At 36.8% G+C, this 27,697-nt stretch overlaps 1 protein-coding gene and 1 long non-coding RNA gene across 18 annotated transcripts in view; one reads left to right on the top strand and one right to left on the bottom strand.

The window, feature by feature from the left end:
* Window positions 1–27,697, top strand: part of EPHA6 (EPH receptor A6) — a 946,939-nt gene that overhangs the window by 518,770 nt on the left and 400,472 nt on the right. The window lies entirely within an intron of this gene.
* The window catches only part of LOC101929278 (uncharacterized), a 114,015-nt gene that overhangs the window by 32,295 nt on the left and 54,023 nt on the right, over window positions 1–27,697 (bottom strand). Inside the window, exon 6 of one of the 6 annotated variants that reach the window (XR_924244.3) lies at window positions 22,317–22,374. The exons of the other annotated variants lie outside the window; for them this stretch is intronic. This is a non-coding gene — a long non-coding RNA (uncharacterized LOC101929278). Of the gene's footprint in view, window positions 1–22,316; window positions 22,375–27,697 lie in introns of those variants that run through there. 6 annotated transcript variants of the gene reach the window in all.

Consider the following 27,697-nt stretch of genomic DNA (forward strand, 5'->3'; position numbering starts at 1 on the left):
TGTTTTTGTGTTTTGTATATCCCTTGAGGTTTTTTGTGAAGACAGTCATGTCATCTGCAACCAGAAAGAGTTTTATTTCTTCCTTTACACTCTGTATGGCTTTTCTTTTTTTTTTTTTTTTTTTTTTTGAGACAGTGTCACACTCTGTTGCCCAGGCTGGAGTGCGGTGGTGCAATCATGGCTCACTGTACCCTTGATCTTCCAGGCTCAAGTGATACTCCCACCTCAGCCTCCGAGTAGCTGGAACTATAGGCACACACCACCACACACAGCTGAATATTTTTAATATTTTCCTTTAGACATGGAAGACTCACTAAGTTGCTTAGGCTGGTCTTAAACTCCTTGGCTCAAGCAGTCGTCCCTCCTCAGCCTCCCAAAGTGGTGGGATTACAGGCTTGACCTATCGTGCCTGGCCCACTCTCTATGTTTTTACCTCTTTTTTTGCTCATTGCAGTGGCTAGAAATTCCAGTACTACATTGAATAATAGTAGCAGAGTAGACATCCTGGCCTTTTTCCTGAACTTATGGAGAAAGCATTCAGTCTTGCACCATCAAAGTGTGGTGTTATCTGTATGTTTTCTTATATGCCCTTTATCAAGTTAAGTTAATTTCTCTCCATTCCTAACTTGCTGAGTGCTTTTATCATAAGTGAGTGTTGGAATTTGTCAAATATTTTTTCTGTGTCAATTGATATAATCATGTTTTTATTTTTTCGCTTGTTGATATAGTCGGTTATAGTGTTTGACTTTCAAATGTTGAAACAGCTTTATATATATGGAAGAAATCCCACCTGGTCGTAGTATATAACTTTGTTATAGCTTGCTTAATTAATTTTTTTAATACTGGGTTAAAGATCTTTGCATTTATAAGAGATATTGGTCTTTATTTTTTTAACTATATTTTTCTAATTTTGTATTAGGGTAATGCTGACCTCAATAAATGAGTTAAAAAGCATTCTCTACTCTTCTAAAAGAAGAGATTTTCTGGAATAGTTTGAATAAACTTGTTCTTACCTAGTTGTTAAAATGTTTAGTAGAATTCCCCAGTGAAATCACTTGTGCCTGGACAACTTTTTAATGAAACTTCTTTTTTCTTTTCTTTCTTTTTTTTTCTTCTTTTTTTTTTTTTTTTGATGAGAGACAACTTTTCTCTGTCCCCCAGGCTGGGGTGAAATGGCACAATCATAGCTCGCTGCAACCTTGAGATACCGTGCTCAAGCAGTTCTCTCACTTCAGCCTCTCAAGTAGCTGGGACTACAGGTGTGTGTCACCATGCCCAGATAAAAGGGAGATTTTAAATAATGAATTAAACCTCTTTAATAGTTAAATAGCTATCAACATGGTCTCTTTCATCCTTGTTGAGCTTTGGTAATTTGTGGTTTTTGAAGAACTGCTTCATTTCTTTAAGTTGTTGAAAATGTAATTCTATTGACTTTTTTCATAGAAACAGCTTTTTGCTTAAGTGATTTCTCTACTGTTTTTCAGTTTTCTGTTGTCTTTCTCCCATTGATTTCTCATTTGATTCCATTATGGTTACAGAATGTACTCTATATGATTTTAGTTCTTTTAAACCTGTTAAGGTTTGTTTTACGGCCTGTTATAAACTCTGTCTTTGTGGAATGGTCTATGCATGTTTATTAGTCAGTTCAGGCTGTAATAACAAAATACCATAGACCAAGTGGCTTAAACAACAGACATGTGTTTCCACATGGGCTTAATTGTGTCTCCCCAAAATTCATATGTTGAGGACCTAACTCCCATTGAGACGTGGTCTCCAGAAGGTCATTAGGCTTCATGAGATCATGAGTGTGGGGTACTCATCATGTAATTAGTGCCCTTATAAGAAGAGAAACCACAAAGAGCGTGCTTTCTCTTTTTTTCTTTCTGTCTCTAGATATCTCTCTCTCTCTGCCACTTAAGGTTATAGGAAGAAGGCAGCCATCTGCAATACTTGCAATACATTTGGAATAAACCTGAGATTGGACTTCTTAGCCTCTAGAACAGTGAGGAACAAAAAATTGTTTTTTATAAATTAGACAGTCTCAGGCATTTTGCTACAGCAGCACAAATGAACTAAGACATCTACCAATATTTTGTTCATGAATATTAACATATTCTCTAAGAGGATAGGAGCTTTCTCCACAGCAATTTTCTTTTCTTTCTGAGTCCTTGCCAGAATTACCTGTTCCTTTATGGCACTATTGGCTTTTTCGACCATGCACCTCAAAACTTTTCTAGCCTCCATCCCTTACCCAGATCTTCAAAACGTGAATCTGGGAGGGACACAATTCTGTCCATAGCAGTGTAAACCACCCAACATATTTCACCTTGCGCACTGCCTAGACAGAGCCAATTTATCAAGACAGGAGAATTGCAATAGAGAAAGAGTCATTATGCAGAGCCAGCTGTGCAGGAAGCTAGAATTTTATTATTCCTCACATCAGTCTCCCCAAGAATTCAGGGATTGGAGTTTTAAGGATAATTTGGTGGCCAGTGAATCAGGAGTTCTGCTTGGTGGGGTCAGAGATGAAATCATAGAGTGTTGAAGCTGTGCTCTTGTGCTGAGCCAGTTCCCGCATGGGAGCCACAAGACCAAATGAGCCAGTTTATCAATCTGGGTGGTGCCAACTGATCTATTGAGTACAAAGTCTGCAAAATATCTCAAGCACGTATCTTAAGTTTTACAATAATGATGCTATCTCCAGGAACAACTTGGAGAGGTTTAGAATCTTGCAGCCTCCAGTTGCATGACTCCTAAAGCACAATTTCTAATCTTGTGGCTAATTTCTTAGTCCTGCAAAGGCAGTCTAGTCCCCAGGTAGAAAGGGGGTTTGGTTTGAGAAAGAGCTGTTATCAGCTTTGTTTCAAAGCTACACTGTAAGCTAAGTTCCTCCCAAAGTTAGTTTGGCCTATGCCTAGGAAAGAACAAGGACAGCTTGGAGGTTAGAAAAAAGATATGGAGTTAGTTAGGTCAGATCTCTTTCACTGTAATAATTTTATCAGTTATGATTTTTGCAAGGTAGTTTCAGCTGGATGCTTGAATAAAGAGCATTCTGCTGTCATTATGTGGAGTGTTCTCTACACGTCTCCAAGTTTTAGTCATTGATTTCTGTGAGGGAAAGTAGTAGAGCCAATCATGAAATGTGTCTCAGATTTTATCCATGCTGGACCTTAGTTCTGTATTTGGCATAGGACTTATGTATGCCTATATAAATTATTTGATTCTAACATTTAGAAAGACAAGTGCAGTCTCTCTGTTGGGGAGTTTACTGTTATTTCTTCTACTGTTCTGAAGTGCTTACGAAAGTTTTATTTTCATTCTTAGCAAGAATGAGATCCAGGAATCATAATTCTATTGCATTTTTACAAAACTTGTCTGAAAGAGCTCAATGTCTCAGAGATCTCTTACTACATGAGCTACATGGAATATTTATTTTATAGGCAGAGAAATTAATGCAGAAAAGAATCATGTTTTTCATTGTCACACATTTGAGAGGAAAGGCCCATATATTTAACTCAGGTCTTGGAAATAGGCTGGTGCTTTTCTCCCTCCCAGATTATCTGGGATGCCGCTAAGTTGAACAGTTACTGTAACAGGAAACCAGGACTCTGGGATGAAAAAGAGTAGTAAAAAATCGATATTTCATAAAACTCACCATTATACAATGTTCTCTCTACATCTCATATAGTACTTTAAAGATACTAGAATATCTAAACATTTAAAATCTTTTATAAAATACAAAGAGAGAGAACCATATCATGTATGAGTTTTGAATCACAGATTGATGGATTTACTGTTATCACAGAGGATGAAATAGGCAAATTATAGTGTTCCACTTTTACCAGCAGGTGTTGTACCTGATCTCTGACTTACTGTAAAGTGAATTTGCAACTTCTTCAAAGTCACTGTTCATTTCAAAGGAAGATTTTCAAATAGTAAATTACATATTTAAAGACCTAAGTGACCTTAAAAATTCTTTTCATTAGTCCCACGCACTCATTATTTTGTGGAGTGCTAAACTTTAATTGGCCTGACCCATTTACTAAGTCATTCTATTTCTCTTCTTAATCGTTCTCACCTTTTCCCTTACTCCCCATTTCACTAGGCTAAAGAATGAAAAGATATAAAGTGAATTCTACTTTTACCATGACAGGATTTATCCAGGAGATATTTTCAAGAAACATAGTATAAAGGATATATGACAAAGCAATATCCATTGCCACAAATATTTTATTGGTATTCATCCAACATTTGTGCTATAAACCTTTCCCACTTATGGTAGCAAGGAGGAAACTTTAGGGATGCCATATATCTACTAATCTTGGATTATAACTGGAAAAATGAGTCCATCAGCCCCGAAAGCTGTATCCTCTAATAGGGTGAGAGCTACAATGCTCAGAAATGTAAGTTTTATTAAAATAAAATTCAAGGGTTTCATTGATAAACTATTAGATTTATCACAGTAATCATATTTATACCATAAAAATTTATCAAGTCACTTACTCCTTTGAAGACGAGCAACTCAGTGGGTGGAGGATGTAGCAATTTACTAAGCCAGGGAAGACTAGCAGAGAAACTGTTTTATTTGGCCATGCTAAATTAGAGATAACTCTCAGATTTCCAAGTGATGATATCAAATGTGCATTTGGATATATGAGTTTTGATATCGTTGGAGAGACTAGAACTGGAGTAGTATGAAGAACTTTCAGATAATGGTTGTGTGTGTGTGCGTGTGTGTGTGTGTGTTTTCCACAAACAAGTAAAACTTATTAGCTCTTGAGAGTCTACCCCTTAAAATCCTCTACCCATGCAATCCTGCCACATTGTACAATTCTATATATCCATCTCAGACTAGATCCTATGCCAATTAGAACCAAACCTGGGTCATAGTCACAGTAGGTATGCAATTAAAGCTCGATAAATGAAGACATGAAGTATAATTCTTCAGTCACAAGCCTGTAATGTATATTGCCCCTAAGATAAGCCCTTTGATACCTGGGGGGTCCTTGAAATGCATCCTTAACCCTAACTCTCTGTGAGCATCTACCCAGATCACCAGATCATATGGCTACATTTTTGTTTATTTTGTATTGTCTACCCCTAGAGCTCTTACTTGAATTCCAAACACGTTCAGCTGTGGTCTTGCTCTGAGGACACTAGACTTCTGTTTCAACTCAAATGAATCATTCTGTAAATCTCAGAAACTAAGATGCTGCCAACCCTATTATAGCTGACTTCAAATATTGCCCCACAGCCTACAAGCTCCAGAAGGCTTGCAAACACACATTATATCACGTAATTGAGATATGTCACTTGCCCAGTTTGCAAATTTACCATATCACTTAGGAAACTACTGTTTGAAGTGAGAGTGTTAGTTGCATTACTCAGCCCCCGAAGTCTACTATTGTCAGTATTCTTTTGGTTGCAAGTGATAGAGATGCCAAAAGGGTGAACAAGACTTAATGGAGGGGTGCTGAAACATTTCATGTGATCAAAAGGCTTCCCACAGAAAACAGGACTTCAGATATTGGAACCAGGAACTCAATCACCACTGTGATTATTTCTCAATCTCTGCCTCTATCATCTTCCCCATCCAATCTCTACTACTATATTGGCTCATTCCAAGTAGTTGGAAACATGGCTATCTACTGATCCTGTCTTAAGTCATCTCTGCTTAATGCTCTTAGAGAAGGGAGAAGCCTGACCTCTCACCATCTTCAGTGATTTATTGATCTTTGATTGTCCTGACTTAGGTAACAGCCACTCCTAGACAAACCACTTAGTCAAGGGAATGGAGTCATGTAATGTGCAGGCCTACCAGAATCACATGGACTTTGGAGAGAGATAGAGGGTGCAATTATATGAGGAGCAGATACAGGTATGCAGGACATATGTAAACAAATACATCTCTAAAGTTCCAGCACACTTCATGTCTGAACCTATACAAAATCCAGCACTTAGAATCACCAAAGATTGCATCATCCTGGTCTTCACTCTGATCCCTTAGGCTTGTGTCTCTTCATCACTCCTTCCTCTTTTATCTTTAATTTACTTTTTACCTCATGCTAGAGTGAAGAAATTTAATACTATCTGAGCATTCCTTCCATCTTAACATTTTACAATGGCAGTAGATTGAAGTATTTTAACAACGTGGGCTTTGGTGTCAGGATAATCTGAGTTTATATGCTCTATTTTCCACTTACTATTTTGATCACCCCAGGCAAGTTACCTTGTGTCTCTGTGAAAAAGGGATGCCAATACCTACCTTAGGATAATTGTTAGAATTAAAATATATAAGAAAGGCTTTTCACAAGACTTGGGAAAAAATCAAACCTATATTGGTACGAGCCTAGGCCACCAAGCAGTAAAATAAACGACACATATGTGAGGCAAATAGAAGTTTGCAGTAGCTCCTGGGTACTCCACTGTTTATAACCCTACACTGAAAGAAGCAGCTCACATCCTGAACTGAGCGACAAGGACTGTGAAGTGGACAGGTGGCCTTCAGTGATGTCACAGAAGGTCATAAAACAGAATTGAGCTCTGGTAGCTTAGCTCCCATTGAGATGTTTAAGAACAAAACCTTTCTGCCAAAAAAAAGTCACAAGCTGGGCCAGAGCCAGCTGGCTTGCCAGAGGGCTTGGGATATATGAAAAACAGTGATAACCTAAATATTTTTTCCAGATGAAATTTCAAAATAGATAAAAAATTTTTGAGATGGATATTTATAGTCTATTAAGGACAGGTACTACAGAAGATAAGACTCTTATTTCAAACAATGTAGCATGAAGGATTCCCGCTAAATATTGAGTTTTCCAATGGTAAAAAATATTTTTCAGGCAGTTCTTGACCAAAGGCCTTTGTATATGTAGAAGTTCCTGTGGCTTTTGTACTCCCACAACCACCCGTGGTTGGAGGCATCACTGCCACCATCATTGGAGCTCTGTTGGTGGGATAAGAGCAGGTAGGAATCTGACTAAGAAGTGACAGGGTGAGTGAGGAGATGGAGGTTTGGTTTATATAAGAGTTTAGTAAAATCATGAAGGACAGAAATTCTTTTTCTCTAATTAATATTCTCAGCCTGTTGGCTTTTGCTCTCAGGCTTTTTCCTTCATGAACTCAAAAGAAGCACAGAAGCGTCAATCGTCACATTTTCACATAGCCAAGTCCAAAGCTGAGAAAGGGATAGTGGGTGTTTCCCTTATGTATTAGTCTGCTCAGGCTACCATAACAAAATACTCCAGTCTGGGTGGCTAAAACATTTAATTTCCCCCAATCCTGAAGGATAGAAGTCCATGATTAAAGTAGCAGCAAATTTGGTTTCTGTTAAGGCCTCTCTTTCCTGACTTGTAGACAGTCACCTTCTTATTGTGTTCTCACTGGGTCTTTCCTCTGTGTTAGCATGGCAAGAGAGCTAGCCCTGGTGTTGCTTCCTCTTCCTATAAGGACATCAGTTCTATTGGATTGGGGCCCTACCCCTATGACCTCATTTACTCCTTATTACTTCTTTATAGATCATATCTCCAAATATAGTCATGCTGGAGATTAGGGCTTCAATGTACGATTTTGGGGCTGGGGGCACAACTCAATCTATGATGCCTTACTCACATTCCTTTTAAAGTGTGAGAAAAAATTTTCCCAGAAGTCTCAATCCATCTTCTCCTCCATTAAGTCATTTACTGGCAAGGGAAATAAAATGGCAACACCTGTTTCCTGGCCAGAGGCCGAGTAGGTTCAGCTTCCTCTTAAGTACCTGAATACCCAAGGAGTGAATGGAATCTGCCTTCATTAGCAAGGAAGGAGAAAATGCTTGTGTGGAGGCAACTGAAAGCAATGGGCACGTTGGCTGTCAGAAAAATGCAACTTGGAACTTTAAGAGGTTCTGGGTACTTTAAAGGAAAGGGAAAGAAGGGGCTAAAAAAAAGCAAATTAGAAGAGCTGACTCAACAGCTGGAGTCTCTTGTTATGCTATGGTATTCTGCTCATGCTTTTCTTTCCTTTTTTTTTTTTCAGACGGAGTCTTGCTCTGTCGCCAGGCTGGAGTGCAGTGGCACAATCTCAGCTCACTGCAAGCTCCGCCTCCCAGGTTCCAGCAATTCTCCTGCCTCAGCCTCCCAAGTAGCTGGGATTACAGGTGCCCGCCACCACGCCTGGCTAATTTTTGTATTTTTAGTAGAGACGGGGTTTCACCATGTTGGCCAGGATGGTATCGATCTCCTGACCTCGTGATCCACCTGCCTCGGGCTCCCAAAGAGCTGGGATTACTCCTTCACTGCCAATTTTAATATATATTAAGTGTAACATATAGGAAACATTAGATCATATATATAAAATTCATTCTTTATAATTCAATGTTTTACATATATAATCAAAAACTTTGGCTTGCTTTGGTGATACAGTAGTTAAGGGAGGTATATTCTCTTTCTCAACGTACCTTTCCGTGTTCCATGCCTTCATATATTTATATTACCCCAGCAAAATCAGTTTTCCAAAATACATTACTAAGAAAAAGTATACTGACAGATAGAAATTTGCATTTGAGGAGAGGGTGAGAAAGACAATTGTGAAGAATGAAGCATTGTAGAACAAAAAAATGTAGACATATATAGAAGGCACATTTTGGATCTGAATACATCAAAGCTATTTCAAGTTTTCTGTAACATAGAGAGAGGAATAGCAGGATATAGAGAGAAACAGACAAAGATAACTGCGGAACTGTGGCTCTTTCAAAAATTTGCCTAAAATTATTATTAAGCAAAGAGCAGTCTTTTTCTCCCTTTTACTTTCGAATTTTCATAGCCCTGTCTTCACAGAACTGGAACTCATAGCAAATATGGCTTCTGTGTGTTTTTATTTTTAAGTAAAAAATACCTCTGATTCCAATTTTTAAGTACAAAATTGAAGAATCATTTATATACAGTAAAGTTCACCCTTTTAAATTTTACAGTGTGATGAGTTTGGACAAATGTAATCACTATCATAGTAAAGAAACAGAACACTGTCATCAATTCAAACAAGTTTCTTCTATCCCTTTACAGTCAACCTCCTACCCAAGCTTAGTCCAGGCAGCCAGTGATTTGATTTTTGCCTGTATACTTTTCCCTTTTCCAGAAGGTCATACAAATAGAATCATATGGTGTGTAGCCTCAGGCTTGCACATGATACCTTTGAGATTTGCTTCGGGCTGAATGTTTGTGTTCCCACAGAATTCATATGTTGACGCCCTAACCTTCAATGTGATAGTATTTCCAGATGGAGCATTTAGGAGGTAATTACGTCATGAAGTGGAGTCCCTTATGATAAGAGATATAAGAAAGTTTGTCTCCTTGCCCTCTCTCTCTCTCTCTCTTTCTCTCTCTGTGTCCCTTTGTCCTATGCCATGGAAAGATAAAATAAGAAGACAGTTGCCTGCAAACCAGAAAGAGGGCCCTAACCCAGTCTCCGTATCTATGAGCACCTTAATCTCAGACATACAGCCTCCAGAACTGTGAGAAATAAATGTTTATTGTTTAAGCCACCCAGTATATAGTATTTTGTGACAGCAGCCTGAGCTGATTAAGACAGTAATTGGTACAGAGAGGTGGAGAAATAGTGTAATAAATATGTAAAACTGTGGAAGCAGCTTTGGAATTGGGTAATGGGTATCGGTTAGAAAAGTTTTGAGGTATGTGCTAGAAAAAGCCAATATTCCTGTGAAGGGAATTTTAAAAGCAATTCCGGTATTGGCTCAAGGTAAAAAGAAGAAAGCTGTAGAGAAAGCCTCTGTCATCTTAGAGAATACATAAATAATTATGTATAGAAAGTTGATTGAAATATGGTTGTCAGAAGCCATTCTGATGAAGTCTCAAACAGAAATGAAGAACATGTTATTAAAAACTTGAGGAGAGGCAATGTTGTAAAGTAGCAAAGAACTTGGCTAAATTGTGTTTGTGTTCTAGTGTTCTGTAGTAGGTACAACTTGTGAGGGATGAAGTTGGGTGTTTAATTGAGGAGATATCTAATTAAAGTGTTGAAGCGGCACCTTGGTTTTTTCTGACTGCATATAGTAAAATGAAAAAGGGAAGAAATGAATTGAAGATGGAATTGTTAGGCAAAAATAAATTAGAACTTAAAGATTCTAAATCTGCCTGTCTATATTACAAAAAAGTGAGAGAGTATATTCAGAAGAGAAAACTAAGGGTATGGCAAACCAACCTTTGTTAAGGAGGTTAGTGTGGGTGTGACCCATAGACTTAATTGGCCATCTCACCAGAAGCCAAGGATAGAGAGGAAATAAGCCACCAGAAAAACTACCAGATGGGACTAAAGGAAACAGAGAAAGTGAGACCAAATGAAGGAAAACTGTAAATGTATGCTATCATTGAAGAAAATGTAAAAAGGACTTCAAAGGTGACTTGGAGATCATCAGGGACACCACCTGGGTGTCAAGAGGGCAGGGTTGGGACATAGAAAGAGCTACTGCAGGGCTGCCCTACAGAGCAAAGGGAGTGACATAGCCATGCCACACCAGTGGGCCCATAAGACCAAGCATTGAGAGACAAAGAGGATTGTTCTTGAGCCTTAAAGTCTCATGGGATCTGATGTACTATGTTTTGGATTTGCTTGGGGCCTATTAACTTCCCTAGTCTCCTATTTTTTCCCCTTTGTAGTGGGAATGTCTGTCCTATGCCTCTCCCATCATTACGTTTCGGAAGCACATAACTTGTTTTGTTTCACAGGTTCACAGGTGGAGGGGAGTTCTGACTCAGAATGACTTTTACTTTGAGTCTCACCCATATCTGATTTAGATGATATTTAAATGAGACTTTGGACTTTAGACATTAGGATTGATGCTGGAACGAGTTAAGATTTGTGAAATTTGGGGACGAAATGTGTGTGTTTTTTATATCTGAGAAGGACAGGAATTACAGAGGACTGGGGTGGAGTGCTATGGACTGAATTGTGTCCCCCTGCAAAAGAATAAATAATAATAATAGTAAAATTGAAGCCTAATCCCTAATGTGATGGTATTTGGAGGTGAGACCTTTGGGAAGTAAGTACATCATGAGGGTAGAACCCTCCTAATGGGATTAGTGCCCTTATAAGAAGAGACACACGAGAGCTTGCTCCCTCTTTTTCTCTCTCTCCTCTCCACCATGTGAGGATACAGGGAGAAGGTAGCCATATGCAAACCAGGAAGAGCATTCTTACTGGACACCAGATCTGCCAATGCCTTGACCTCAGACTTACACCCCCCAGAACTGTAAGAAATAAACTGCCAAATTGTTTTACAGAGTGGCTTTATCAGTTTGTATTCATATTTGCTGTATATGAGTTCCCAGTTGTTCCATGCCATTGTCAGTACGTGATATTGTCTGTCTTTTCATTTTAAACATTCTAGTAAGTGCGTAGTGGTATCTCCTTATGGATTTAATTTGCATACTCTAATTTGCTAATAATGTTATACAGGCCTTTTTTATTAGCTTGGAAAGAATATCATCAATTCTATAGAATCTGAGACACACACAGAGAGAGGGAGAGAGAGAAAAGAAGGGAAGAAAGAAATGAAGGAACAAAAGAAGGAAGGAGAAAGAATAGGATTGGATTTTGTGTTACAACCAAATGGTAACTTTGTAGTAAATGTGGGAAGCCTGAGCAAGAGTGTAAATTCTGGATTGCTTAACTTCACAGAAGTCAAATTAAAAAGTGAGGCAAAGTAGAGGGAAGCCAAATGAGGGGAAAAAAAAAAGGTCCAACCAACATACGTACTATTAGTAAATTATTTCACATGTACATAACATTGAGAATATGTCCAAATAAAAGTGAAGCAAGTAAAGGTATCTAGTGAATGTAATTTGCATAAATTCTGACAGTGTGTCACTTAGAATACTGCTTAGAGGATGTTTTGATAAATATTTGGAGGTCAAAACAAACTGCTTAGAAATTGACATCATGGGTCAGGATATAATCATGGAGAAATTGAGATGCAAGCCAAGAGTGCAAGGAAAGCAGCAAGAGGAACTCCATGCTGATATGAGGTACTTTGCTAAGAATCTTTTATTCCTGCCTTATATCTTCTCCTGTGCCTTTATAAAATAACTGACACATAAAAGGACTCCATAAAAGCATGAAGGAGAGTTTGATGACAATGTGATTCTTAAGGTGGGCTTAAGTGGGCAAGAAATATGAGGGATTCCATGCTTTTCACCAACAGTGTATTGGTCAACTATACTAAATTACTGGTGGTTGACAAGATATTGACTAGATGACATTTCAATATCCCTGTGAATGCATCAAGTTAATTTTTAAGAGAAGGTATTGGATATCTATTTTGAGATTAACACTATATTCTGAATTCCAGAAACATGTATATATATATGTAAACATATGGTATAACCTTTACCCACAAATTATTTATAATTTAATTGAGATGAAAAAATTGTAAGCATTGTCACAGCTGAGGGATCATTCTTTTAGTAGCTATAGCTGCTTGAAATCTTGAGTAACTGCAAGAAAAAATGAGATTAGTATGCTTCTCAAAGTATTCATAGATTTTATTGCTGCCTTAATACCCACTGGCATTATGACAGCAGGTCATAACCTTTTTCAAGACTATCTTGAAAAAATTGTCACAAAAATTTTATTGATAAAAGTTTGTCCCTTAATATACTGTGCAAATGCTACACCTCCTCTCATAAAAATCTATACTGCATTGGTGGATAACCAGCAAGGTTTCTGATATTTTTTTTTTCCAGAGGGGTTGGGGTCTACTATCCTGTCCTTTTACTTTGCATAATCCAGTTCATCAACTAATGAATTGTAATCTTCCTAAAGTCCTTGTGTTCTTCCCTTCAAAGTCTGCAACCATATGTTAAAATTTTTGAAATGCACAATTTTTATTTAGAGGCTGGACAAAATTAAGTTCCTCTCAAGAGAGGCATTAGCACTGAAGAAAATAGGTACAGAAAAGTGTATTCTGAAACACTTAGCCAGGAAACCAAAATAAAAAGAAAGCTAATTGTACAAAGTTACTGTTAAAAAGAAACAGATATAATAAATGCCTTCAAACAGATATAATAAGTGTCTTCAAAGTAGACGTTTATCCTTCTCAGCAGTCCACAGATGATATGATGGTTTCAGGGTACCAATGGCCCATTACTCTGCCATCCTCAGGACTTCCTTCTCTGGATGCAGAATGGCTACTCCAGCTCCCACCATCACATCCCCATTCCACTGATTAGTAAGGGAAAGGAGGAAGGAACGTTTACAGGACATACTCTTCTGTTTTACAAACATGACCCAACGTGTATACATCAGATGTTCAATTTTTTTTTTTTTTGTCAAAACCTAGTCACATAGCTAAATACAGCTTCAAATGAGGCTGGAAAATGTAGTCTTTAGCTGGGATACCAAATGTCTATATTCTAGGACATAGTCATGGACATTATCATGGAGAAATTGAGATACAATCCAAGTGCAGGGAAGCAGCAAGAGGGATTCCATGCACATATGAGGTATTTTTCTGAGAAGCTTTTATTCCTGCCTTATATCTTCTCTTGTGCCTTTATAAAATGCCTGACACATAAAATGACTCCATAAATGAATGAAGGAGAGTCTGATGATAACTTGAGTCTTCTAGTTGGGCTTACGTGGAGCAAGAAATTGGAAGGATTCCATGATGTTCACCAACATTTTTATTACTGTTGAAAAGAGGAAAAATGGTAATTGGAGAGACCACCAGTTGTCTCTGAAATGTACCATCATATTTAACACCTCCTCTTCCCTTCCTTGGAGATTAAAGGCATCATGAAATCCTGTAGGATTTATCATCCAGACTTCACTTTCTTGTTTCTCCATCTTCAGATATTTTAAATTATTAAAATATCTTCATAATTTACTTCACTTTATCCACTTTGGCTTCTTTACAATTAATTCTCTATTTTTCAAGGAACGTGATCTTTTCAGTATTCAGATATATTCACCTTATCAATTGATACTAACTTTTCTTAGATATAAAATACACAAACTCCACTAGGGTAAGAACAGTGTTTGTTTTGTTCAATATTATATGTCCTGTACCTATCACAGAGTAAATGTACAAAAAAAATTTACTAAGTACGTTTAATAAATAAATCATTCAATGAATTTTTTTGACTTTGAGTACAGGAGAGAATCATGTATTCACACAGTAATTCTGGGAAAGATAATATAGTATTTGAAAGTGACTCCAATGAACATGAATTTGAGGCTATTTCTCCTAGAAAAAAATTTGGAGGGGGAAAGGGTTATGGTTAAATCAGTTAAGCTAATAGATAAAAGAGCCATAATTCTTAGAGAAAATGTAGTTGTTAGTCATTCCCTTTGACCAGCTTCAGTGTTGCCTCAACTTTCTTGGTGAAATTTTCCATGCCCTTCTGAAGTATTTTGTCAACTGAAAGGACTCTTTCCATAAACTTCAGCATTTCAAAAATGAATTTATCTGGCAAGTACATTTTCACATATAAGAATTAAAGTGCAACATAAATCTTTTGATAGCCATATATCAACACATCTTTAATTAAAGAAGCCTCAGGTCACAAACATCTAGAGTTAATTTACTCTACAGAGTCTTATCTGATTTTCTAAAAATTTACATTGTCAGCAAAACTACTGTCCTTTGTTTAATGCACTTATAAACATTTCCAACTTATTTTTTTGGCAACCCTCTTTTTGTGTTTGTACATGAAATAAAATTATTTTACATACATGCTTTCTATGCTAACATTAGAGAGTAAAATTGTGTGAAAACGACTGCAGGGAATAGAGGAGTACATGATTCCCTATAAAGAATGTAATGCCATAGGCTAAGTATTATGTTTCTAAAATTCTACCTTTATTCTTGACAAATATAAATCCAGTAATAAAGATGACTCTTAGACTGTGTTGCAAATTCAGTTGACAATGATATTCATATTCTGACTCTGGGCTAATTTCTTGAGTTTAAAAATTATTTTTTCTTGTCTAATATAAAAGTTTAAGAGCAAGTGAATGCGCATACATATTAAAACTTGGCAGAAATAAGTATCAGATCTATATAGATTTAATCTTACTTCCTTCCAAGTTATTTTAAAGCAATCTTGATTCCACATATAAGATGGAGTAGTTTTTTTTTTATTAGGTAGTAACTTTTTCAGGTTACTTGAGAATAGTTATTATTATTTGAAAAAGTAATTTATTACTATCATATTGAAAAAGCATTTCTTAAGCAACTAATTATGCATAACTAGGCTAGGTGAGCACAGTTACAAAATGTAATTAATGAAACTACATAAATACAGGAAACTGAAAGAGTTAGGTAAAATATTAAATATATTAATATCAGGAAGGTTTTTCATCATGCATTGATTGAAGATTTGTCTACTAAGTGTATCACAAGGTAGGTCATGGGGCAGGATAGTCTGGGAGCATAGACAATTGGGATGGGGCTCAGATGAGTAATCATAGGTGTTTTTATTCCATGCAACAGGGAGTAGTAATCATGGAAGTGAGGGAGTCGACATGACGGTTCTTCTTGGGTTTAGTTAGACTGCTAATATAATTTTACCAAATAGACAATTATCAGAAATAATTAAAATACCTTAACAAATGAGTTCAATATTTCAGCAGGTTTTCATGATTCTTTCCTAACAAGAGTTCTTTTATACTGCCCGTAAAAATTGTTTATATATCCTGGCTTTTATTAAGTACTTATCTGAATATTAAAACATATTTCCTATCACTGCTTCATGTATCCTTAAAATTTATCTGGTATCAATTTCCACACATTATTAAAATCTCCCTTAAATTCATTTTATATCAAAATTCAATTTTAGTCTTATAAAGGTTTTTAATAAAAGTGAACAATATTACCTTTAGTCTTATTTTTTGATCAGGATTTTAGTTTTGAAAAGCATTCAAGTTCCATTAATATAAAAGTAAAAAAAGAAAATCAGAGTTCAGGCTTTTGGGTACAGCCAACTTCAAATATGTGAGTATGCTTTGACAATTACAATCACCCATATACTTATGTTTCTCTTCAGGCTAATCAACAACTCCTCACACATACCATTGTCAGCATCATCAACCCATATTTATTGAGACAGAAATATGGAGCATTGTGAAAAACAATAGCAACTCAAAATGATATATAATATCTTCCACAAGGTATTTAGAAATTTAAATATGCATTCCCTTTGTGGTTTCAGAGTTGTACAAAAATAAAAGAAAGAGTCATAGAGAGGAAGTATAAAAACTGTGGCAAATATAATTGCTTGCCTACCACACAGCCTTCTCTTTTTCTTATCATCATAAATCCAATTTTGTTCAGCAGCAATGTGCCTGGATCCAAGGAAAAGTATCAGTTTTGCCCAGACTAGTGATCTTCATGAGACTTAGGAAGCTTCAAAGTCTTCATTGAGCAGGAGTTTCTGATCATAGCATCATACGTATTAATCTTGGCCCCTCACAACTCATGTTCAACATTATGTTCCAGACGTGATAAAAATTTTTAAAAAATGCTGTTGGGTTTATGAATATCTTTTAGGGGGCAGTAACACTCTTAGTTGAGAAACAATAGTCTAAACTAATCATGCTAATCTTTTTTTTTTTTCTTTTTGCCAGTTTTTGGTCTAAGAGGACCAGTATGACCTACTTCTCACGAATTAGATATGCCAGGGTAACTCCCATGGTTTGTTTCCGGGAAATTTTTAATTTCCTAATGAAAGACATAGCATTGGAGAAAGAGCTTTGTCTTGCTCCTTTTCACTCTTCCAGCTTTGGATATTGTAGAGAAAGAATGAGATATCTGGAATATTAACAGTGGTCTTGTGACACTGAAGCAGAAAGCCTGACCATAAAAGGCACTCACACCAAGAATGACAGACTAGTATAAAACATCCTAGGCCCTGAGAAACATGGTGGAACTGCTGAAACATGCTGGGAAGATTGTAAAGGTTGTTATTGTTTACAGTTTAATTAGCAAAATATTCAGCTACTACAGAGTATCACAATGCAGAACATTTTAAAAGACCTACCCAATGCATTTTGTTGTGTTGAATATTTTCTTGCAGACTCCATTTTTAGGAAATTTCACAAATATAGTGGTCCTAAGAAGAATATTGTGGGAAGTCCACAATAAAAAGAAAGTAAATTAAAACTATTTATTTTAAGAGTTCATGAAAATAGTATTTTGTGTAGAGCAGATGTAACTTAAAGGATGCCCTAGGGAAAACCTCAGCACACATCTAGTCCAGTTGTCATCATTTGCTTCTTTTTTATATATAACAGCCTAATCAAGTGGGACAGTGTCATCCTGAACACTTCTATGATATAGTACTTAACAACTTCCAAGGCATCCCATTGCATTTTTGGATAGCTTTCAGATTTGAAAATATGCCACATGTTCATTCCAAATCAGGCTCTCTACTGCTACTCCTGCATTGTTTCTACATCTGAAGCCCTCAAGAAAAAAAAATATATATAATCTCTTTTTTCTTGCTAACAGGGTCTAATTAGGCAAAGTTAACAATAGGAAGGAAAAGATAACCTGTGGGATGAAATTGAAATATGAGATGTCAGGAAATCCTAATGTGGCATAAATAGTTCTTGCTAAATGACCTTGTACATCTCCTGCTCAGCCTATTTGGTCTTCAACTTGCCATCCATTCTTTGCATATTTAGTACAATTAAACCTGCCATCCTCAAGCTCTAAAAATGAACAACACGCTCCATATGTTCATAGCTATTTTACAAGGGACCAAAAAAATGGCAGACATCCATCCTTGTGTTCACGCCAAAGTGCAATTTGTCGATTGAAAGATATTAGTTGATACAGTGGAAATGGGCTGGAAAACCTCATTTGGCATGCCAACAGAGCTCTTATACAATGATCTCAAATTTTAAAAATAGACCATGGCCAACCTTCAACTCAGAAGTGACTTGGATCAGGCTATTTAGTGCTTATAAAACAGTGACTAAACATGTCATCAGATAAATCCTAAGCAATGTGCATGTAGTGTTCCACTAAAACAAATTCTGTTATTTTTGTTATGCTTGCTTTTGTTTGTTACAGAAGAAAATTATTAGCAATCCCAGAAGGATATATTTCAACTTTTGTCAATTTGGGAATACATTGAGGTCTTAAGTTTTATCATATTCAATTTTTGTATGTTGTACGGCGAGGGAAATTATTAATAGGAACAAATTTATATAAAACCATTTCTTCTGTTCCTGAAATAACTCATAATTTTCAATAACAAATAGAAGCAATCTACTGTGATGAATTTTAAATTAAAAATAGAAGTGGATCTTTAACTTGAGGTAATTGAAGTTGCTATCTAGGATTAGAAAATATGATAAAACTGGATTTAATTTTCCCTCAAAAGAATGTTAACTTATATGTCATAAAAGAAAACGTTTTCTTTTGGTTCATAATATCTGGGAATTGGGGATGTGGAGAGTATAGTTTGGAAGATGAGAGGAGATACTAACCATTACTAATATAGGATAGCTATTATATTATTGGTTTATCATTATAATTAAAGACAAATAGTCACATTTGAAAGAAATGTTTATTAATAAACATACCCCCCATTATTACTGGAACCATGTATAGCATGGGTCATGGAAACAAATTGACAAGAAGAAACCACATAAAGGAATACACAGTCTAGAATTTTATTCTGTACTTAAGACAATGATCTGGATAGAATTAAGAGTAGATTGAAAATGACCTAAGAGTCAATGAACTTAAAAGTAGACCAGTAGATATTTTTTCAATTTGAAAAACAGAACAAAAGGATATTTTTTTTTAATGATTGGTGCCTCAGGACTTATCATGAGACAATATCAGAAATATATTTGGGTTCAAGGGTGGAACAAGATGGCCAAATAGAACACTCCAGCAGTAGTTCCCCCAACAGGAGCACCAAATTGAACAACTGTCTGTACAAGAAAGCACCTTCATAAGAATCAAAAATCAGGTGAGCGATTACAGTCCCTGGTTTTAACATCACATCAAGGAAAGAGGCAGTGAAGAGGGTAGGAAAGACAGTCTTGAATTGCTAACACCACCTTTCTCACATCCATCAGCAGCAGCCACATGGCATAGAGAGAGTGTGTGCTTGGAGGAGAGAGAATGCAGTGACTGTGGGCTTTGCATTGGAACTCAGTGCTGCCTTGTCACAGTGGAAAGAAACATGGGGTGGAATTCAGTTGGTGCCCACAAAGGGAACATTTAGATCAGCCCTAGCTAGAGGGGAGGTGTCCATCCCAGCAGTCAGAACCTGAGTTCCAGCTAGCCCCACAACCATGGGCTGAATACCCTAGATTCCCATATAAACTTGAAAGATAGCTAGGCCACGAGGCCTGCAATTCCTAGGGAGGTCTTGGCACTGTGTTGGGCTAGGAGCCAGTGGACTTGGAGTGCACATGACACCAGCCAGGGTGGCCAAGCGGGGAGTGTTTGCATCACCCCTTCCCCATCCCAAGGCAGGGCAGTTCACAGGTCCAGGAGAGACTCCTTCCTTCAGCTTGAGGAGAGGAAAGAGTAAAGAGGATATCCAAGTTGTCTTGTAATTTGGATACCAGCTTAGGCAAAGTATCCTAAGGCAAAATAGGGCACCAGGCAGAGTTCTAAGGCCCCCATCCAGGCCCTAGTTCCTGGATATTTTTAGACATACTCTGCCAGAAGGAATCCCACTGCCTTGAAGGGAAGGACCCAGTCCTGGTGGGATTCATCACCTGACTAAAGGGCCACTGGACCTTGAATAAACATCAGTGGTACCAAGGCAGTACTCACCACAGGCCTTGGGTGAGAGCCAGGGCCATGCTGGCTTCAGGTGTGACCCAGCGCATTCCCAGTGGTGGGGCCATGGGAAGAGATTTCTTCTGCTTGAGGAAAGGAGAGGGAAGAGTAAAAGAAACTTTGTCTTGCAGCTAGGACACCAGCTCGGCCACAGTGGGATAGGCCATAGTGGGCCACAGACTCCTGTGGCACATTTCTGCATCTGCCCTGCACCAGAGCCCCCTGCTGCCATGAAGAGACATAACCAGGCCTGGAATCATTTACCACAAGTTGACTGAAGAGCCCTAGGGCCTTCAGTGAACATCAGTAGTAGTCAGGCAATACTTGTCACAGGCCTAGAGTGGTGGGGTCCATGGGAAGAGAATCCTTCCACATAAGGAAAGAAGGGAGAAGAATGGGAAGAAGTTTTTCTTGGGGCTTGGGTGCCAATGTAGCTGAACTAGAATAAAGTCCCAAGTCGATCCCTAAGGTTTCCAACTACAGGCCTTGGCTCCCAGACAGCATTTCTGGACCTACCATGGGCCAGTGGAAAAGTTGCACCCCTGAAAGGAGGGAAACAAGCCTGGCTGGATTCACCATCTGCTTACTGAAGAGCCCTTGGACCTTGAGTGAGCATTAGTGTCAGCCAGGCAATGGCACCTGCAGACCTTGGGCAAGACCCAGTACTGTGCTAGCTTCAGGTAAGACTCAGCATAGTCCCAGTGGTGGTGGCCACAGGGGTGCTTATGTTACCCCTCCCCCAGATCCAGGCAGTTCAGCTCAGAGAGAGAGATTCCATTTGTTTGAGGGAAAGTAAGGGAAGAGAACAAGAATCTCTGCCTGGTAATCCAGGGAATTCTCTGATATCTTACTCAAGACCAACAACACAATGCCTCTATGAACCTGTAAGAGTCACAGCATTACTAGGCTAGGGGTGACCCCTAATGCACATACAATTGCAGTAACCAAAGATTTAGATCACAACACTGAATTCCCTTTGAATACCTGGAAAACTACCCAAGAAGGATGAATATAAACAAGCCCAGACTGTGAAGACTATAATAATACCTAACTCTTCAGTGCCCAAACATCGATGAACATCCACAAGCGTCAAGACCATCCAGGAAACATGACCTCACCAAACAAACTAAATAAGGTAACTGTGACCAATCTGTGACCTTTCAGACAGAGACTTCAAAATAGCTGTTTTGAGGAAGCTCAATGGAATTCAAGACAAGACAGAGAAGAAATTCAAAATCCTGTGAGATGAATTTAACAAAAAGATTGAAAATGGAAATTCTGAAGCTGAAAAATACAATTGACATACAAAGAATGCATCAGAGTCTCTCAACAGCAGAATTGATCAAGCAGAAGAAAGAATGAGCTTGAAGACAGGCTATTTGAAAATATACACAGTCAGAGGATAAAAAAGGAAATTTTTAATGAAGCACACCTACAGGATCTAGAAAATAGCCAAAAAAGGGAAAATCAAAGAATTATTGGCCTTAAAGAGGCAGTAGAGAGAGAGATCGGGGTAGAAAGTTTATTCAAACAAATAATAATGGAGAACTTTCCAAACCTAGAGAAAGATATCAATGTTCAAGTACAAAAAGATTATAGAACACCAAGCAGGTTTAACCCAAATAAGAATATCACAAGGCATTTAGTAATCCAACTCCCAAAGGTTGAGGATAAAGAACAGATTCTAAAAGCAGCAAGAGAAAATAAATAACATACAAAGGTGCTCCAATATGTCTGGCAGAAGACTTCTCAGTGGAAACTTTACAGATCAGGAAAGAGTGGATGACATATTTAAAGTGCTGAAGGAAAACAAACAAACAACCCTTTATCCTGGAATCTAGTAAAAATATCCTTCAAACATTCAAACATGAAGGAGAAATAAAGATTTTCTGAGACAAGCAAAAGCTGAGGAGTTTCATCAGCACCAGAACTGTCCTACAAGATGGTAAAGAGAGTTCTTCAGTCTAAAAGAAGAGGACATTAAGAAGCAATAAGAAATCACCTGAAGGTACAAGACTCAGCGGTAATAGTAGGTACACAGAGAAACACAGATTATAACTCTGTAACTGTGGTGTGTAAACTACTAATATCTCGATTAGAAAGACTAAAAGATGAACCCATCAAATATAATAATTACAAAAATTTGAAGACCTAGACAATATAATAAGATATAAATAGAAACAAGAAACAGTTCAAAACCAGGAGAGATAAAGTTAGAGTGTTTGTTAGTTATCTCTTTTTTTGTTTGTTAGTCCATTTGTTTGTTTTGGCAATCAGGGTTATGTTGTCATCAGTTTAAAATAATGGGTCATAAGATGTTATTTGCAAGCCTCATGATAACCCCAAGTCAAAAAACATACAACAGACAAAAAAATAAAAAGCAAGAAGTTAAAACATACTGCTAGAGAAAATCACCTTCACAAAAAGGAAGATAGGAAGGAAAGGAAAAGGGAAGAAAAGACCACGAAACACCCAGAAAACAAATAACAAAGTGGTAGGAGTAAGTCCTTACTTACCAATAACAACATTGAAAGTTAACGGATTAATCTCTTCTTTCAGAAGACACGGATTGGCTGAATGAATGGATTAAAAATAAGACCCAAGATTATATTGCCTACAAGAAAAACACTTAGCCTATAAAGATACACATAGACTGAAAATAAAGGGATAAAGATATTCCATGCAAATGGAAACACAAAAAAAGGGCAGGAGTAGCTATACGTATATCAGACAAAATAGATTTCTAGATAAAAACTATAAAAAGAGACAAAGAAGGTCATTATATGATGATAAAAGGGTCAATTCAGCAAGAGGATGCAACAATTGTAAATATACGTGTACCCAACACTGGGCCAGGTGAGCAGCAGTTGAGCGAGCAAAGCTTCATCTGTATTTACAGCTGCTCCCCATCACTAGCATTACTGCCTGAGCTCTGCCTCCTGTCAGATCAGTGGTAGAATCAGATTCTCATAGGAGTGTGAACCCTATTTTGAACTGCATACAAGGGATCGAGGTCACAAGCTCCTTATGAGAATTTAAGCTTGATGGTCTGTCACTGTCTTCCATCACCCCCTCATGGGACCACCTACTTGCAGGAAAACAAGTTCAGGGCTCCCACTAGTTCTACATTATGGTGAGCTGTATAATTATTTCATTATGTATTACAATGCAATATTAATAGAAATAAAGTACAAAATAAATGTAATGTGCTTGAATCATCCCAAAACCATCCCCCTCACCCCCATTCCATGGAAAAATTGTCTTCCATAAAACCAGTCAAAGACGTTGGGGACAGCTGTTTCACTATGTCTTATAAGTTTTGGTATGTTGTATTTTGTTTTGATTCTTCTCTAAGTGTTTTCTAATTTCCCTTGTAATTTCTTTCTTGATACATTGATTACTTTAGAGTGTGGTGTTTAATTTCTATAAATTTGTGAATTTTCCAGTTTTTCTGTTGTTATTGATGTATAACTTCACCCTATTGTGCTCACAGAAGATACTTTGCATGATAACAATGTTTTCTGATCTGTTGAAATTTAATTAGTGGCCTAACATGTTGGTTTACACTGGAAAATGTCCCAGCTGCACTTGAGACAATTTTATATGCTCCTGTTGTTGCTTACATCTGTTAGATCTAGTAGGTTCATTGTGGTTTAAGCCCTATGTCCTTACTTGCCTTTGGTGTGGTTTTTCTCTCCATTATTGACAATGGGTATTGATGTCTCCAACTAGTATTGTACAACTATTCCTCCCTTCAATTCTATCAGTTTTTGATTTATATATTTTGATGGTCTGCTGTAATGTGTGTAAATACTTATAAATATTATGTCTTCTTGCTGTATTGAAATTTTCATTAGTATATAATGTCCTTCTTTGTCTCTTGTAATGTGTTTTAATTTAAAATCTATTTGGCCTAATTAATATAGCCACCCTTGCTCTCTTTTGGGTAACAGTTGCATGGAATATCTTTTTCCATCTTTCCACTTTCAATCTATATCTTTGGATTTAAATGGAGTCTCTTATAGACAAGGTATAGTTTTGTGTTTTTTGGTTTTCTTTTTAGATGGAGTCTCGCTCTGTCACCTAGGCTGGATTGCAGTGATGTGATCTCGGCTCACTGCAGTCTTCACCTCCCAGGTTCAAGTGATTCTTGTGCCTAACCCTCTCAAGTAGCTGGGATTACAGGCATGTGCCACCATGCCAAGCTAGTTTCTTTATAGTAGAACCGGGTTTCACCATGTTGACTAGGCTTGTCTTGAACCCCTGACCTCAGGTGATCCACCCTCCTCAGCCTCCCAAATTGCTAGGATTACAGGCATGAGCCACTGTGCCCAACTAGACAATGTATAGTTGGTCATATGTTTTTATCCATTCTGCCAATCTTTTTATTGGAGAATTGAATCTATTTACACTTAAAGTAATTACCAATAAGTAGGGATTTTTAGTTGACCCTTGAACAACAATGGAGTTATGGGCACTAACCCCCCATGCAGTTGAAAATTTGTGTATAATTTTGACTCTACAAAACCTTAACTATTAATAGCTTAGTGTTGACTGGGAGCTTTACCAATAACATAAGCAATTAACACATATTTTCTATATTGTATGTATTGTATACTATATTCTAATAATAAAGTAAGCTAGAGAAAACAAAATGCTATTAACAAAATCATAAGGAAGTGAAAATATATTTAGTATTCCTTAAACGGAAGTGGAACATCATAAAGGTCTTCATCTTGGTCAATTTCACATTGAGTAGGCTGAGGAGAAGAAAGAAGAGGGGATGGTCTTGCTGTCTTAGGCATGGCAGATGCAGAAGATGTGGACGAGGTGGAAAAGGAGACAGGAGAGGCAGAAACATTTTGTGTAACTTTGAAAAACAATCTGCATAGGAGTGAACCTCAACAGTTCAAACCCGTGTTTTTCAAGGGTCAACTGTACCTCTGTCACTTTTCTATTTGTCTTCTATTTTCCCTATAGTAGTTTTCCCTAATTTCCTGCATTATTTTCTTATTTGTGTTGTTTTTTGTAGTGAAATATTTAAATTTCCTCTTCATTTCCTTTTTCGTGTTTTTGGTAACTATTTTCTTGGTGGTTATTATGGGCATTACATCTAACATCCTGAAGTTACAACACTCTAATTTGAATTCATACCAGCTTTCCTTCAATAACATATAAATCTCTGCCCTTTACAACTTTGCCTCATGCCCTCTTGGTTGTTGATATCACAAAATTACATCTTTATACACTGTATATTCCCAAAATTAAAGTGATAATTGTAATGCATTAGTTTTTAAAGTTATGTAAAAAACTAAATCTGCAGTTGCAAACCAAACTTACAATTGTACTATCTTTTAGAGTAATAATTTATTTTTTAGTGTATTAGTACTTAAATCAAGTAGAAAACAAAAAGTGGAGTTAGAAACCTTTGTACAATAATACTTACTATCTTTTATACTTGCACATGTATTTACTTTTATTGAGATTTTTTTTTTCATATGGCCTCAAGTTACTTACTGTCTAATGTCTTTTCATTTTACCCTGCAGAACTCCTTTAAGCATTTCTTGCAGAGGAAGTCTACTCATAATCAATTGACTCAGGTTTGTTTATCTGGGAATATTTAATTTCTCCCTTACTTTTGAAGGACACTTTTGTCAGATATAGAAATTTTGGATGACAGCTTGTTTTAGGACTTTGAATGTATCATCCCACTGACTTCTGGCCTCCAAAGTTTCTGATTAGTAACCTGTTCATAATCTTATTGAGAATAACTTCAATATGATGAGTTCCTTCTCTTTTGCTATTTATAAGATTTTCTCTTTCTTTTGAAATTTTGATTATAATTATAATGTGCCTTGCTATGGCTTTTTTTTTTTTGAGTTCATCTTATTTGGATATATTGAGCTTGGATATTTATATCCATGTCTTTAATCAAATTTGGGAGGTTTTCAGCCTTTATTTCTTTAATTATTCCCTCTGCTCTTTTCTCTGTCTCTTCTTCTGAAACTTCTACATTGCATATACTGATCTGCTTCATGGTGTCACAGTTTGCTTAGGTTCTGTTCACATTTCCTCAACCATTTTTTTCATTTTGTCCCTCAGACTTGATAATTTCCATTGCCCTATCTTCAAGTTCATGGATTCTTCATCCTCAAATCTGCCTTTGAATCCCTTTAGTTAAGTTTTTATTTCAGTTATTGTATTTTTAGCTCCAGAATTTATTTTTGGTTTATTTTTAGCATTTTTTAAAATTACTTTCTTGATATTTCCATTTTGTTCATACATTGTTTTTTTTTTTTAATTCTCTATACTTTCTTTTAGTTTTTTGAAAATCTTTTAACAGTTTTTGTTTGTTTGTTTAAGTCTTTGTTTAATAGATGTGCCACAGGTCTTTTTCAGGGACAGTTTTTGTTGTTGTTTTAATCTTTTGAATGAGTCATATTTCCTTGCTCCTTTGTGTGGGTCATATTTTCTTGCTTCTTTGTATATCTTATGATTTTCTTGTTCAAAACTTGACATTTGAATCTAATAGTGAGGTAAATCTGAAAATAAGATTCTTCCTTTTAGGGTTTCCTGCTTTTGTTACTGTTTTTTGGTTTGGGTTTTATTTTTTTTATTGCTATAGGCCTTCTCTGTGCCAAAGATCAGCATGCGGTGTAAACGTAAGGTCTTCTCAGGGCTTTTCTAAGCTTGTGCCTTTCTCTAAGCATGTGTGGTCACTTTCTAATTTTTTCTGTGTCTTTCTCTTTTGTGCTTTTCAATCTTTTGCTTGCCTTTCATGTACGGCTCCCAAAGGAGGAAAAAGAAAAAAATAAACAGGAATAAAATGTACTACCCCTTTATATCTGAAAGTCATCTTAGCCGAGGGAGGTGTCTTTATCTGTACCTCTGTGATCAGAAGCAGCAATCAGCAATCAGAGCACAGTTCCTGATATTTGGAGGGCAAGGTCTTTTTTGGCTACCCTGGCTCCCACAAGCTGTGTGCAAGCTGCACCAGGAACAAGTGCACAGCTGCCTGCCACAGAGCTGAGAGTGAGGGATGGTTAGCTGCTACCGTGCTAAGATCTGAAATCAACTTCAATTTATCATCTAAACCTATCACTGAATATTGCAATTCTTCAGTAGACTTCAGATTTCCAAATTAGTTACATCAGACAGACTCTGCCAGTGCAATTGTTGCCTAGATGGGAAGACAGATTCCTGGTTCTTTCTACTCCACTATCTTTACAGAATTCTCTGTATAATGATATTTGGTATTTTATTTCAGATTTGATGAAAACATAATTTGAATATTAATTTTAAAATTTATTCAAATGTTGTCAATGAACATTGTCAGACATTTTGCAGCATTTCTTTATATTGTTTAAAATTTTGTGGTCAGGATAAATTTTATTCCTTTCTTTTTCTTTAATTTTGTGTCTGGTTTGGAGAAGGGATGAAATCATATATCATTGTTTCACACTGGGAATCTAATAAGATTATGACCACATGAATTTTCTTCTGCATTATTTAACTTAAACCACGTTTGGTTAATACAATTCGAGAAAATAAGATGCATTTAGAAGATAATGTATGTAACTCTAAATGAAATCAAAGGAATCAACTATATAGGACATAATCTCATGTAGTATTTATATAGTATAAGGAGAAAAATAATGAAGTAAACAAAAACATTTATTTTGCTTGTCAACTTTTACTATCTCCCCTCATGCATTCTATGACTACTCAGCTACTGTCGACCCTAAAGTGCTTTTACCTATGCTTATGTTGGCTCTATTAGCTCAGTGAAGTATCTCTGTAGGAGACATTACTCAGCTCAATTCCATCAATTGGATGTGCCCTTTTGAGTTGTTTTCCCAATACTGTGATTGTTATGCACCTTGCTGAGTCTTCCA

This window comes from Homo sapiens, chromosome 3 (assembly GCF_000001405.40).
Source record: "Homo sapiens chromosome 3, GRCh38.p14 Primary Assembly".
NCBI lineage: Eukaryota > Metazoa > Chordata > Mammalia > Primates > Hominidae > Homo > Homo sapiens.